This window comes from Homo sapiens, chromosome 2, assembly GCF_000001405.40.
Source record: "Homo sapiens chromosome 2, GRCh38.p14 Primary Assembly".
NCBI lineage: Eukaryota > Metazoa > Chordata > Mammalia > Primates > Hominidae > Homo > Homo sapiens.
In genome coordinates this window covers 125,087,761-125,104,232 of record NC_000002.12, presented here as the reverse complement: position 1 = coordinate 125,104,232, position 16,472 = coordinate 125,087,761, and positions in this window count along the sequence as shown.

The following is a 16,472-nucleotide window of genomic DNA, read 5'->3' as shown; positions in this document are numbered from 1 at the left end:
ACCCATTCTAATCTATAGATTCAATGCTATCTCAATCAAAATCCCAACGATCTTTATTGTAGATATTAACAAAAGTGTTCAAAAAATTTTATATGAGAAGCAAAAGACCTGGAATATTCACCACAATTCTAAAAAATAAAAACAAAAAGTTGGAAAACTGAAACAAATCTATATCAAGGGTGACTACAATGCTGTAATAATCAAGACAGGGTGGTATTGACAAAAGAAGGGATTCATAGATTTAGGACACAGAATCAAGAGCTCAAAAATAGATGTACAGAAGTATGAATAATTGAACTTTGGGCCGGGTGTGGTGGCTCACGCCTGTAATCCTAGCACTTTGGGAGGTCGAGGCGGGCGGATCATTTGAGGCCAGGAGTTTGAGACCAGCCTGGCCAACATGGCAAAACCCTGTCTCTAATAAAAATACAAAAATTAGCTGAGCATGGTGGCAGTCGCCTTTATCCCAGCTACTGAGGAGGCTGAGGCAGGAGAACTGCTTGAAACCAGGAGGTGGAGGTTTCAGTGAGCCGAGATCACGCTATTGCACTCCAGCCTGGGCGACAGAGTGAGACTCCGTCTCAAAAAGAATAAATAAATAAATAAAATAAATAATTGATCTTTGATAAAGGAACTAAGGAAATTCCATTAAGAAAGAATAGCATTTTTAAAAAAATGTTGTAATAATTGGACATTCACACGCAAAAACACAAACCCAGGCACAGACCTTACGCCTTTGACAAAAATTGCCTCAAAACATATAAATCTACATGTAAAATGTAAAATAACAAAGCATCTGGAAGAAAGCATAGTAGGAAATCTGTTACCATTGGGTTGGTGACAATTCTTAGATGCAGAACTGAAAGCCTAATCCATGAAATCAAAATTGATTTGAGCTTTATTAAAATAAAAACTTTTGCTCTGTGAGATAATCTAAGAAAAATAAAAGATAAGCCAAAAACACAAATCTGATGAAAAAAAAATTACAAAGACAACAATAATACAAATACACAACTAAACAATAAGAAAGGAAACAACCCAGTTTTTAAAATGAGCAAACGATCTGAACACACACCTTACCAAAGAATATATACAGATGGCAAATAAACATACGAAAAGAGATTCAACATGATTTTTCATTCAGGATATGCACATTAGAACAATGAGATATAACTGTGCACCTATCAGAATGGCCAAGATCTAAAATTTGTCATTGCCAAATGCTGATGAGAATGTGGAGGAACAGAAACTCCCATTAATTGTGGGTGAGAGTTCAAAATGGTGCAGTAATTTTGGTAGACAGTTGAGCAGTTAATAAGTTATGAAGGTATAAGCATTGTCATATCATATTATCTAACAACAGTGCTTCTAGGTATTTACCCTACTAATTTGAAAAATTGTGTTCATATAAGAACCTGAATGTGAATGTTTCCAGCAGATTTATTCTCAATCACCCCAAACTGGAAGCCACCAAGATATTCTTAAATAGGTGAATGGGTAAACAAACTCTGGTACATCCATATAATGGAATATTATTCAGCATAAACAGAAATGAACTTGCAACTCATGCAAAGGTGTGAATTTATCTTCCATGCATATTGCTAATTGAAAGAAGATAGTCTGAAAATGCTATCTACTGTGTAATTCAACTATATATCATTCTGGGAAAGGCACAGTTCTGTGATTCTTCTGTGGGTGTGTGTGTGTATGTTATATTTTTTTTATTATACTTTGAGTTCTAGGGTACATGTGCACAACGTGCAGGTTTGATACATAGGTATACATGTGCCATGTTGGTTTGCTGCACCCATCAACTCATCATCTACATTAGGTATTTCTCCTAATGCTATCCCTCCCCAGCCTCCCACCCCCGCAACAGGCCCCGGGGTGTGATGTTCCCTGCCCTGTGTCCAAGTGATATTGTTCAATTCCCCCCTATGAGTGAGAACTTGTGGTGTTTGGTTTTCTGTCCTTCTGATAGTTTGCTGAGAATGGTTCAGGAGAGAGAAGAAAGCTTGAAGACGTGAAGGGCGGGGGACATTTTAGGGCTGTGGATGGATGCATGATGCTCTCCATTTGTCAAAACACACAGAACTTGACCAAACAGAGTGAGCCTCAAAGTGTATAATTATTTAAAAACTCATTCAGGAGATTGTGAGATACCAGGATAGAATGCAGAACATGATAAAAGCAATCTAACAGTATTTCAAATGTATGTACCAAACTAACCGAAGAGGGCGGAGGGAAAAGGGGCTGACCTAAGTAACTCTGCAAATGAGTGGAGTCTGTAAGACTAAAAGAAAATTTACATAAGTGCTATATTCTAGTTGATAGAGTTATTTACCAGAGTGGTATAATTTAACACTTCTATACAAGTATGCTGGAACTGAAAGTTTAGATGTATGGACGGTGGATGCTGGGAGCCATCTGGAGTCTTCTCGGTGTTGGAGTGGGAGGTTACAGAGAAGAAGGATGGAGATTAGAATGATCTATGCAGTTAGGGGTTTGAATTGGAGATATCAATAAGAACTCATAGTTACGTTACTACAGATGCAGGTGATCACATAAAAAATATTTATAGAGATGTGTATATACACTTAGTTAGTATATAAATATGTATTCCTTGCTCTGTCAGGTAAGAAAGCCTAGAAGGAATAATATTCAGTATCATTAAGCACATTTAATGCCCAGATCTTGGTTTGCATGACGATTCTTCAATTAAAGAAACAGGCTTCTTTAGAAAAATGGCTGATTTAGGGGCTGGGGCTGGAAATTAAAAAAAAAAAAAAAAAAAAAAAACAATATGAGCCTGGAGTGTTTTATAGTGCCAAAAAGAAAGAAAGTGCAAACAAACAAACAAACAAAACAAAGAGAGAGAGAGATGGGTTTACAACACAAGAACTCCAATGGTGAAAGTTGGAATAAGCAATCAAAATAAATACCATGGTTTTGGATTATAATCTAAAGTTAAAAATAAACATCTGTCCACCTTGGCTTAATAATTTAATAAATTGTTAAATACACAAATATTTGGGAGAACAAGACATATCTCCTGTGCAGAATAATTCCAAATAATTTACTTAGATGTCCTGCCCTGAAGTAGATGGAGGCTGCTTCCCTCTGCTTAAGTGTGTGGAGTGCATAGTGACTTCCTTTTGAAAAACAGGGTATGAAAACAGAAAGAAAACACAGTTAAGAAATCTGAGAAATAATATCTCAGCCATGTGATCAAGACTAACATGTTGAGAGTGTGTGCTGTTGATACAATGCAATGAAAATGATAATTTACCTCTGTGGTCTTCCTGACGAATACCCAGAACTCAAGTCTACTCATGAGAAACACAACAAACAAATCCCAATTGAGGGACAGTCTACAAAATATTTGACCAGAATTCCTCAGAATCACCAGGGTCATTCAAAAGTAGGAAAGACTAAGAAAATTTCATAGCCAAGAGGTGCCTAAAGAAATATGGTGACTAAATGTAATATAAAATCCTGGAAAGGATCCTGGAACAGTAAAAGGATAACAGCTGAAACTCAGGGCATTTTAATAAAGTATGGATTTTAGTTAATTATAATGTGTCAATATTGGCTCCTGAATTTTAACAAATATATGATGTAAGATACTAGAAAGAAAGGATACTGGGTCTGGGATATATGAACGCTCTTGGTATTATCTTTACAATATTTCTTTATTTTCTTTTTCTTTTTCTTTTTTTTTTTTTTTTGAGACAGAGTTTCACTCTTGCCGCCCAGGCTGGAATACAGTAGTGCCATCTCGGCTCACTGCAACCTCCGCCTCCCAGGTTCAAAAGATTCTCCTGCCTCAGCCTCCCAAGTAGCTGAGATTACAGGCCCTCTCTACCATACCCAGCTAATTTTTGTATTTTTAGTAGAGGTGGGATTTCACCATGTTGGCCAGGCTGGTCTTGAACTCCTGACCTCAGGTGATCCACCTACCCCGGCCTCCCAAAGTGCTGGGGTTACAGGCAAGAGCCACCGCACTGAGCCCTACAATATTTCCTTCAATCTAAAACTGTCCTGCTACCAGCAGTGAATCTGTACACGTCTGCAGCAAATTCAATTCTTGCCTCCTTAGAAGAAAGAATTCAATTGAGGGGGCATAGGGCACTGTGAGAGATGACAGCAACTTTTAAAGCAGGAGCAAAAGTTTATTAAAAAGTTTTAGGGCAGAAATAAAAGGTAGCACACTTGGAAGGGGCCCAAGAGGGTGACTTAAGAGAGTCAAGTGCACTGTTTGACCTTTGACTTGGGGTTTTATATGTTGGCATACTTGAGGAGTCTTGCGCCCCTTCCCCCTGATTCTTCCTTTGGGGTAGGCTGTCTGCATGAGCAGTGCCTATCAGCACTTGGGAGGGGCTTCATGAGCAGTGTGTTTAGTGGAGTTGTACGCATGCTCCCATAAGGTCATAAGGTGTTCTTCCCTTCCTAGCCGAATGTCCCTGGGCAGTCATATACCAATTAAACTCTGCCATTTTGCCTCTTAGTGCACAAATGTGAGCCCACTCACCCAACTCCTGAGATCTTATTGGGAAGCTGCTGATCACCAGTTTCAGGAGTTTCTGTTTATTGGGAGACTGTCTTTCCCTGGCACTGGCTGTGACCAATTGTTATTTTAGAGAGACGGTGCAACACCTGCACTGTGCAGACCATCATTTGACAGTCATCTGGCATTCTGGTGGGTGGTGGTGGGGGGCCTCTCCTGCCCTGCTCATGTCTGACTAGCTACGTACTGTAACAGCACTAAAATAATTTAGAATTATTATTGAGTGTCCACATTCATTCAGGCACTATGGAAGGCAGGCAGATCAAGTGATGAGTAAAGCAGGTGACATTCTTACCGCATTGACTTCATATACTGGGGAAAGAACAGATAATAAAAGTATAAATAAGAATGATAATTTTATGTAACATAAAACTATAAGAGGGGAATAGATAAGTTTGTAAAATAAAAACTGACTTTGTGAGGCACAGTAGATGGTGGGGGAGATAGGGTTTAACAAGGTCATCAGCAGGGCTAATTTCAGCCTTGAACACTGCAAAGTCTATGGGCCATTTACTCATACAATAACCAAAGTAAAACAATAACTTTAAATAAGGGTACATTTTCTTCAGTTTTTATCTTCTTTGACAACTATTTTTTTAAAAAATAAACACTCACTACAAACCCTGCCTGCTGCACCCTCAAAAACTCAATTATTCTGGGCATCAGGAAACTATATCTGAACTCAAATCTGGAGGTAAGAAAGAATCAGATATTTCAGAAGGAAGGAAAGGATTCTTAGAGACGGAAGAGTCAAAATAACAATGGCTACAACAATCATAACAATGTTAACTAAACAATATTTAGCACTTACTAAGTGTCGTGCATGGTTCTAATTGTTTCCTATGTAGAATCCATTTGATTCTTTCCATAGCCCTATGTGGTAAGTACAATTATGCACACCAATTTTAAAGGTGAAAAAAATTGAGGTCCAGAGACACTGACTTACTGGCCTCAAAAGGGCAGGAACTGGGCAGTCTGGCTCTAGAACACAAAGTCTTAACCAAATTTCCATACTGGAGCGCTCTATTGACTGACATTTGTTGAGTGCTCAGTGTTTGCCAAGCAATGCTCTTGGTGCTCACTCTATATTAGCTTGTTTCATTGTCACTATATTACAGGAGTTTGGTACTTATAAATATCTCTGTTTCAGAGGTGAAAAATTAGAGTTGTTTCCAGACTAAGCAGTTTGGCTCCAGAGTCCATGACCTTGGCCATGTCGACACTGAGGCAGGGATGTGTTTAGAACATTTTGAGGATATAAATTGAGCTAGGATTGCTAGCACCAAAGTGGAATAAAAAGTTTTTACTTGATTCTATTATTTGATATTCTGAGTTTTTTAAAAATCATTTTTTATTTGTAGAAATATTTTTGTCATATTCATGGTAGGTTTTTTATTAGTATTTTCTTATTCTTTGAGTTGAATGCATAGTTGAAATCTCTTATTTTTACATTAGCACATATCTTAACACATATAAGACAGAATTTTTTTCCCTTGATTTTGGAACTTGAACTTTTATAATGATTTCTAAGAGCATTGAGGTTGATGGTATGTACCTCTCATGAAAAATCAATTTTTACTCCTAATTATATAGGCTAGACTTAACACTTTTACTTTCACTGCTGTAGTAAGATGTTATTTCCACTGCTACAATGCATATATCTGTTCATGATCTTTTCCACCTGTAGTTTACAAGCTCCTTTATGGAAGACACAAAGTCTTATACATTAAAGATTTTCAGTGCCAAGAGTTGTACTGAGTACAAAGTAGATATTTAATATATGTGTGTTGAAATGTCCTCAACATTTTAAAAATAAATAAAATAGTGAAGATTATTATATATTTAGTTATATCTACTTCTTTGGGAAACTGCCTATATTTCTTGAGACATTTTATTCCCAGGCAGGTTGTGAAAGATGGGGAGTTGTGTAATTAATAAATAAAAGTAAAAAACTCAAAACAAATAACTTTTTTATTGATAAGGAACACATAAAATACCAAGCAGTTATATTTTTAGAAAGAAGTAATAAAACATTAGAAAAAGTCTGAGGATTATAGATCCAAGAATCTCTTGTTGCATTATGTATACTGCACTGTATTTTTTAGAATACCAAGGGATTAAGGGATATATTGGATTTACCATTATGTAAGCATCAAATCCCAAAAGTTCTTAACATTTCTCCATCTCAGATAACCCAAAATATACTTCAGTGCTTATGTAACTCTATGAAATTCAAGTTCCCCAGTCTCAAAAAAACTCAAGCTTAAACAACAATACTGTGTTAATGATATTTAATTTTTGCATTACATAGGAGAGTGAAGTGTGTGTGTTATAAATTTATTACCTAAAACTAGAAAATATATTTGATCCTAATTAGAAGACATATATCTGTTTGCCTTTGAAATGGTAATAAAAATAAAGATTTTATTGGAATTGTGGAGAATTTAAATTTTGAATCAAAATATTTATACCTGTACACTCTCAGATCTTTAAGAATTTTAGAATTGGCCATTATCTAAAAACTCCCACAAAATTCTGAAGCTTGGTTTACTAGTATTTTAAATTTATCTTGTACATGTAAGAAAGAACAGAAATAATGGCATTGTAACTACAAGTAAAAAAATTAATCAAAGATAATAATGAGACATTATTATGAGGTTAGTGGGCATTGTGGTTAAGCTACATGAAGTAACAGCAGTGCCATTTGGGAAACTGAGCTCAGATGGGCACCTGATTGGTCTAAAGATAATCCTATTGACAATATTTGTTTCACAAATAAACATTTGCCTAAATTCTGGCCAATGAAATTCAAAACAAACTTGCTACAAGATCTGAGAAAACATACACTTTGTTCACTGAAGACTAAATGGGCCAGGAGCGGTGGCTCACGCCTGCAATCCCAGCACTTTGGGAGGCCGAGGCTGGGAGATCACTTGAGATCAGGAGTTCGAAACCAGCCTGGTCAACATGAGGAAAGCCTGTCTCTACTAAAAATACAAAAATTAGCCGAGTATGGTGGTGGGCAACTGTAATCCCAGCTACTTGGGAGTCTGAGGCAGGAGAATTATTTGAATCTGGGGGGTGGCGGTTGCAGCGAGCCTAGATTGCACCACTGTACTCTAGCCTAGCCAAAAGAGCAAGACTCCATCTAAATAAATAAATAAATAAAATGGAAAGACTAAATGAACACAGACTTTACTTCCCTTATGATATAAACAAAAGCAACAACAAAAAAACAAGCAACAAGCAAAATTCTTAATAAAAATTACCCATTAATAAAAGAGGAACAAGCTTTGAGGTATAGCCAACAATGTTGACTGCATAATAGAAGTAGAAAAAGAGGTTCACAATGAGTCCAAAATCTGTGTTAACCCTAGGCCTACTATGTGTACTAATGAATTTCATAATTGTGTAAGGTAGTATGGGACAAGTTATCTGTTATTTAAAGCCAAACCTTTTAGGTACTCCAGAGAGTTCTAGAAATAGCACCATTAGAGCTGTTTTCTGAAATCCAACCTTCAAGCTTTCTATATTACAAGCTCTGCTCACAGACAATCTTTCATAAGGGCAAGTGATAAAAAATGACTCACCATCTTCACATGTGCTCTTGTCCTTTTCCCCCAGATATACATCTCAACTTTCCCATGTACTTTCATCACTTTCCAGAAGTGAAAGGATAGAGTAATTGAAGGTTGGATTATATTTTTCCCCAATTACTTAGATAAAAGAGAAAGTGAATAAGAGGGCAAAATGAAAAGGGCAGAGTTAGGCATTTGCACAGGAAACTGTCAAGAAGCATGGCAAAAAGCAGCTCCTCTCCTCTGGTCCTGTCATCCCTTGAGTGCTGGAAATTCAGCACTTACAGTCACTTTCTAAAACAGTGTCTTTCTACATAATGTGCTTAATCAACTAGCCTTTTAAAAGTATATGTTCTACATTAGGTGCTTCAGGGCTAACAAAAAATGTTCAAGGGCAATCCCTACTCCTGGAAGCATTGCAAACTGAACTGTGGTGGGCAGTAAGTACATGCAAAAGTACGAGAACTTCGAGGAAGAGAACTGAGATTTAGGTGCTACATTTATGTGAGGGTCACTATTTTTACATGGCAGATATAATGTAAAATTCCTCCCGCCTCTCTAAATTTTGTGGTATTATCCCCATTTTATAAGTGGGGAAGTGGGAGCTTCCAATGTGGAACAATTTGTAGAATTAATACATTTTATGAAAGATCTGATACTTAAAGTTACTGTTGGGGTCAGGGATAAAGAACCCAAATAAGTACATGGAAGGCATAAACAAAAATACATAATTGAATCAAGAATATTGATTGAGTATAAAAATCTGTATATTTTTTCTGTTAAAAAAAAGTCTGTTGAACAAATAAAAACATAATATATAATTTTCTGAAAAACAAAAAGGATGCCATTAGCAAACCAAAATATTGAGGCCTTTCTGAATCTTAAAAACCTCTTGTAAATGAGGCAGCAAAATAAGAAGTCCACCCCTTGTAGGTGAAGACTGTCATTGTTCCTGTAGAGCTCAAGCTCATGGTCAGTAGAGGTGAGAGCAGAAACACCCCTAAGGCAATAGTCAGAATGGGGACACGGGACCTGTAGAAGGTACATTTACCCTCCATAGAGAGACAGGGCCATATCTCCATACAAATCATAAAATAACTTATATGTACAGACCATACACTGAGATGACAAACAACAGGCAATTCTCACTTTTAAGTACAGATCTTCTACCCTACTCCTTAACCCACCAGAAGTCATCATGTATAATCACAGCTTGTACCTACCATGATGAGAGAAGAGGATCACAGAACAGAAAGGGAAGCAAACATACCCCCAAACAACCAATATTTGTAGGAACTAAAATCAAGACAAAAGAACAATTACTGGAAAAATTATCAGGAGAGGAAAATGAGTCAATAGACCAAATAAAAGCATTTAAAAATAAAAAAGCTTTTATCGTCAGAGAGATTAAATAGAATATTGTGTCATACATATACAGTGATGCAAAGGAATCAGAAATATTGATGTTTGAGACTTAGTCACACAAATGAAATACATAAAGAAAATAGTTGTAACGTGCATCGTCTTTAGACTCTCAGAACATGGCAAAAAAGGTCAAAGATATTATTTGTGAGAGAGAATTCAACAGATAAGAATAGAAATAGAAATTTTAACCTAGAAAATGTTTTAAAGTTAAATAAAAGACTTTGGTCATCAAATGATGAAAGTTGCCACTTGATAGTACAAAATAGTATTTACATAAAAAAGACCAATAACGAGGCATAGTGTGATGAAATGTTGAAACGTTGAGGGCAAGGAAAACATATAAAACTTCCAAAAGAAAAGGAATGATACTATTTCTTGGAAAAATACAATTAGGCAATAACTTCAAAATGTATACTGAAATTACTGAATGAAATATAATCTCATATCCAGCAACATTAGCATTAAAATTTTTAAAAAATAATTAAATATATAAGTAGTCAGAAAATTAATCACAGTCACACCATCTATAAATAGGCAACTCAAAAACGAGAAAGCAAAATAAAAAGTACAACTGTGGGAAATACAAAATATAGCAATAAAATTAAAAACAAAAAGTAGATGGCTCAGTATATCAGAAGAAAATAGACTTCAAGTGGATATTAAATAGGACAAAAAGGATTACTTTCCATTTATAAATTTTACAATTAACTCTCAATATTTATCGGTCATGTACATTTCTGTATCTATATATATTTATACTACTCATCAAAATAAACATTGATAAAAATAAAGTAAAACTTTTTATAATCTATAATCATAAAATGAAATTTGATCATCAAATATTAAACAATTGTTAATAATGAAAAAGAGGTAAATAAACCATGCATTTAATAGCAATTAAAAGCAAAAACATGTAGCTTTGTATCCAACAAACACAGAACACTAATTTTTTCAAAGTTGGAATTATTATAACATACATTTTTCAGAAATAAATTAATAGTGAAACAACAAAGATGACCATGAAAACATCCACAACTCAATGAATAGGAGTTGAAAGTGGTGTTGTTATGGAGAAAGGAGTGCAGGGACGGTGACCTGGCAGGTGTCATGGCTGTACACTGCTACCTGCTTTTATCTTCCCAGGTTTAGCTGATTAGCCATGGTTCTGCTTTGATGAGCTGTCACACTGACAGAAGTTCACACAAATTTGTGAATTATCATAGTCAAATTGTACAATGTGGTGCTTCCCTGACAATATAATTCTTGGTTAAAGGGTGGAAGGATGGGTGAGTGGAAACTTTCTATTACAAAAATAAGTGGTGATTAGTGCAGAATATATCAACGTTTTGCCAACTATTTTACATTGTCTTTTTAGAAAATAATATTTGAATGGCATGCTGGGATAAATGGGTTCCAGCTGTTTCTCTCCCCGCTTCCCTGTTTGGATGCTTAAAGACTAGGGAGCTCAACATCTTGGCATCTACAACCAACTCAAGGTTTTGCCGTCTTACATTGCTACATAAATCATGCTTAGAATATTCAAGAGTAGGACTTAAGCTTAGGAAGAATGGACACATAATTCAAAGAAATCTGGCAGCCTAAGTAAAAGAAAATAGCATGGTAAATATATAGATACGGGGCAATTTTTAAAAAATCCATAATAATGTGTGTGCGTATGTGTGTGTGTTTGTGTGTGTGTGTGTGTGTGTGTGTGAAAGAGAGAAGAGAGAGAGAGAGAATACCCAACATATTTATGCTGTTCTTCTCCATTTACAAAGCACATATATGAGCAAATTGATAATTTCCCTTGGGTAACCTAAAAGCTCAATGGGCTCTCACATTTTTTTAACTGATGTGTCACGTTCAATGCTTGTGATAATTGCTCTGCTTGTTTAAATGGTAATAGAATGCTTGGAATATTAGTGCCAAAGCCCTTCAGATTTCTCTATGTAGGAACACTATTGATAGTTGACTAAATTAATTTTCTCACTAGTTTTTATTTAAAAAATATGTGTAGGTTGTATTAAGCTTAATTAAATTTTGTTTTACAGGCATTTACTTTCACTATCACTCTACACAGTCAATTCCGAAATGATGAATCCATTTGCTCATTGTAATTACAATATATGAACTGTTTGGCAGAAGTGTTTCTGGGCATGAACATCATTCTTTGGATGTAGAACACTTGGGAGCAATTTCATGTTATTTATAGAGACACATAAGCATATAGACTGCTCCCTACACGTGCACATGGACACACATACACACACACAGAAGTCACTTAGCTATTAGGAAATTGCATGCAGAAGCAACATGGAGTACTAGAAAGATCTTGGGTTTAAGGTCAGATAATTCTACATTTCTAGTCCAGCATGGCCACTTACTGGTTATGTGCTCTAGCATCTATTTCTTCTATTATAAAATGTAAAAAGGGTACCTACCTCACAGGGGTGCTACGGAGCATCAAAGTGGAATATAAACTTTCTTATCACAAAGCTTTATACTTGGTGCTCAAGATATGGTACCTGATAACATTATATAATGCATATTCAGTACTGGTACATAATATGCATTTAGTGCCTAATATATTCCAGGCATTATTTTTTTTTTACTCTATAAAAACCTCATGAGTTGGACAATATAAAAATTATCTCTCTTTTACAGATGAGATTGCTGAGGCCCAAACAGGTTAAGTGACTTGCCTAAAGTTACATAGTGTGACCAAAAAAAAAAAAAAAATGCTGGGTGATCATGAATAGTCTTATCCCTAATTTTCTTCCTGAAGAAAACCTCATTCTGTTTTCTAACTGAAGGCAATTGGGCTAAAATGCTGACATCACCCCCAGGACTGTTATGAGAGCCTGCAAGGTCTTTCTCTTGGGTCATTGGCTGATTGGCTGCTGTGGATATGGAAGGAGACTCCAACGGGATGATGGAGCCCCTGTCTCTCTGAAGGGTTAAATGGAGCTGAGCCTCCTCATCTGCAACCTCTTTCACCAGACTGAAATGTGAGGAGAAAACAAATTTGCTGTTTATCTACGAAAACCTAATGATGGCTTATCACAACATTCGGTGTCACCTATGTTGCCTAAAGTTAACATAAGAGTCTGTGTTCACTGCCTCTTCTAAGAATAACCCTGATGAAATCATTGTAGGCAAAATGTCTTGTTGCCAGGTGTCTCCTTTTTTTCTCTCTTTCCAGCCTTGGTATCCCAAGTGTTCTTGTGTTGGCCCTAGTGTGACTGATGCTTCCAAATTTAGGTGCCCCCATACAAAAGAAGTAACCAGATACACTGGCAAGAGCCCTTTATATGATGCCCCTTCCTCCAAAACCTATTTCTTTTTTAAATAAACACCTTCTCCTTTAAAAAACCACTCTGTAACTCCTGGCTTAACTTACGACTTCTAGAAAACCATACAAAAATGGTCACTAGTTCTTCTCATCTATCCAGTGGCTTTTGAAAAATAATTCTGTACATCATGGCTTGTCTTTTATAGAATAGTTTGGAAACTCCTCTTTCTCCTTACCATAAAGATGCTGTATTCACCATCCAACACACCCATCTCTCAATTACTTGATTTTTTTCAATTTCAATGGCTTTCAACTGCTTCACTAATTAAATCTCAAATTCAAGTATCTTACTCTCTCCTACTACCTCATATCATTGGTAGGTATTTTGATCCATTCCTTCCACTATGTTGTTTTCTAGGCCTCCTTCATGTCTTATCCACATCTCAAGTTTCATGAAGTTTAGGTGACAATGATTCTCAGTGCTGACACATATAGTGGAAAAATATATATATTGGCTGAAACCCCACCTGTAGAGATTCTGATTCATTGATATGACATGAGTTCTGAGAATCTATCAACTTAAAAATATTTTTTTCTTTTTTTCAAATATGCAGCTACTGGTTCCATATTCTTTTTTTTTTTTTTATGCGGAGGATGACAGAGTCTCACTCTGTCGCCCAAGCTGGAGTGCAGTGGCACAATCTCGGCTCACTGCAACCTCTGCCTCTCATGATCAAGCAATTCTCATGCCTCAGCCTCTGTAGTAGTGGGGATTACAGGTCTATGACACCACGCCCGGCTAATTTTTGTATTTTTAGTAGAGACGGGGTTTCACCATGTTGTTCAAGCAGGTCTTGAACTCCTGACCTCAGGTGATCCACCCGCCTTGGCTGCCCAAAGTGCCAGGATTACATGCGTGAGCCACCACACCCAACCTCTATATTCTTTCAATTAGTCCCCTTTTTGAATACTCGATTCAGCTTTGGCTCCATGGCTCACCATTTTACCACTTTTGTCAATACTTTTAACTCCCCCACTTTGGCCATAAGATTTCTTGTCTGCAAATACTCCAACCAGGATTTTCTCACGATCCTAAGCTTCCTCACCAGCACCTGGGCTTGAGTGCTTCTGGAGCAAACTGAATGACCAGGAACAGCACGCATGCCCATTGCATGGCCTGGCCTTCAACCACAGTTGGACCCTCACTTTCATATTCCACTTCTTCTATGCTACTGTTCCAGCCATGATTTGTCAAGGGCTTCTCCACCATCTCTTTTGCCTCCTAGCCTCTTACTCTCAACACTAAGGAGAACGTTCTTTCCTCTTGACCATGGTACAATCTGTGAAGGGAGAAAATGGATGTATACTCATTTTTCTATTAAGAACTAGAAACCCTCGAATAGTTTAAATATTGTTGCATACATTTTGTTTTATTTTGGCTTGTTTTAACTGAGGGCATTGCCAAAAATCAAAAACACTATTGGGTATATGACTTTTAAAGATAATTTTCAGACTTTTATTCCACCAAAAACAAAAACAAAAATTGCTAGAACACTGGACAAAAGCTCTGGATATAAGACACTCTCCAATTTGCTCAGGGTGATGATTGTTGGTCATCAGGTCCAAATGTTCCATCAGGTGTCCATTACAATTTCTGGCATCTTTAAATCAAAGTCCTAGGTCACACAAATTATAAATGTTAGGTGGCGATGAAGAGGCTTCTCTGTGCCGTGATCACTAAAAGTATGTAAGTAATCCACCTGAACTCTCAAGCAAACATGTAGGAAATTGTCTCTCTAGAGACACAGTTCTGCTTAGTCTATTCTGAAATGATGAATACATTTGCTCATTACAATATATGAACTGTTTGGCAGAAGTGTTTCTGGGCATGAATGCCACTCTTTGGATGCAGAACGCCAGGGAGCAATAGTTTACTATAAATAGAAACATGTAAGCATATAGACTGTTTCCCACGTGTGCCTGTGATCACCTAGGGTCATCTTCCTATGTTAAATGTGACAGTACCTACATTAAAGACCTCCACTAGGAAAACAGAGAAGCTGAGTATTAGCCACTGGGCTTTACAGGGAGTGATTTTTCAGGATTTTTTTTTTTTTTTAAGGCTCAGGTAGATTTAGAAAGCCTGCCATCTCAGTATCTATTGAAATTCAACTTAATTCTACTTGAACATCTCCTAGTTAAATCTTCCTCAGTATTTGAAAAGTCCTGGATGTTTTCCATCTAGATAAGTTGGTCACTTTCTGGGGGCATGATAGGGCTTTTCTGAAACTAATGATTTACCCCAGAGGATAAGGTCCTTTGGCTAAGGCTTACATTTTCAACATTACAGGAGAAAGGAAATTACTGTTTTACATGGTGGCTATATTAACATTTCATGAAGAAGATTAAAAAGATTTTTTCTTTTAAGTCAAAAGGCAGAAAAAGGAAACAACCTGTCTGGCAGTGAGACCAAAATGTTTCAGATATGTTTCCAGGATGATGGACAGATTGAGAAGAGAATAAGACTAATACTAGGGAATAATGGATAATACAATTGCAAAGGTACCATCAAAGCAAATTCAGATAACATATATATATATATACACACACACATATTTTATATAAATAACATATTTAATATTTATATCAGGCCAGGCGTGGTGGCTCATGCCTGTAATCTCAGCACTTTGTGAGGCCGAGGTGGGCACATCATGAGGTCAGGAGTTCGAGACAAGCATGACCAATATGGTGAAACCCCGTCTCTATTAAAAATACAAAAATTATCTGGGTGTGGTGGTGTGCGCCTGTAATCCCAGCTACTTAGGAGGTTGAGGCAGGAGAATCGCTTGAACCCGGGAGGCAGAGGATGCAGTGAGCCGAGATTGCACCACTGCATTCCAGCCTGGGCGACAGAGCGAGACTCCATTTCAAAAAAAAAAAAAAATTAAATCAAACATATATGTATATAAATATTTATATGCTTATATAGATGTTATACATATATAAAGATTAAGGCAGGGTCTCTCAGTGTTGGCACTGATGACATTTTGTGCCGTGCGTTTTGTATGTGTTGCTGTAGTGAGCTGTTCTCTGTGTTGTAGACGCTTAGCAGCACCACTGGCCTCTACCCACTACATACCCATAGCACCTGCACCCCCAAGTGTGATTATCAAAATTGTTTTCAGACACTACCGTATGTCTCTGGGGAGACGAGGAGCCAAAACACCTCCCAGGTTTTTAACTGGACTAAGGAATAAGAAATGTACCTGTTACCAGTGAGAAATAAAAGAAGACTTTTGAACAAGAAAAACAGCTTTATAAAAAATACTGTGGTGACATTTTTCTGGATATATTGCAAGTGAGAAGGATCAGCAGAGTAGTTCAGATGTTGAACTGCAATAAGGCATAACATTTGAACTAAATGATGGCAGTTGGAAGAAAAGGAAAAGATGTTAGTGAGAAGAAAAGGGTTAGGGAAAACAGATTCAGCAGCATAATGACTGGACCTGAGGAGCAATGAAGAAGGACATAGCTTCTGTGACTCAGGCACTACGTTGAATATTATGTCACTCTTGCTCTCTTTGTTTTTGGAGCCAGATTTTACTGTGAT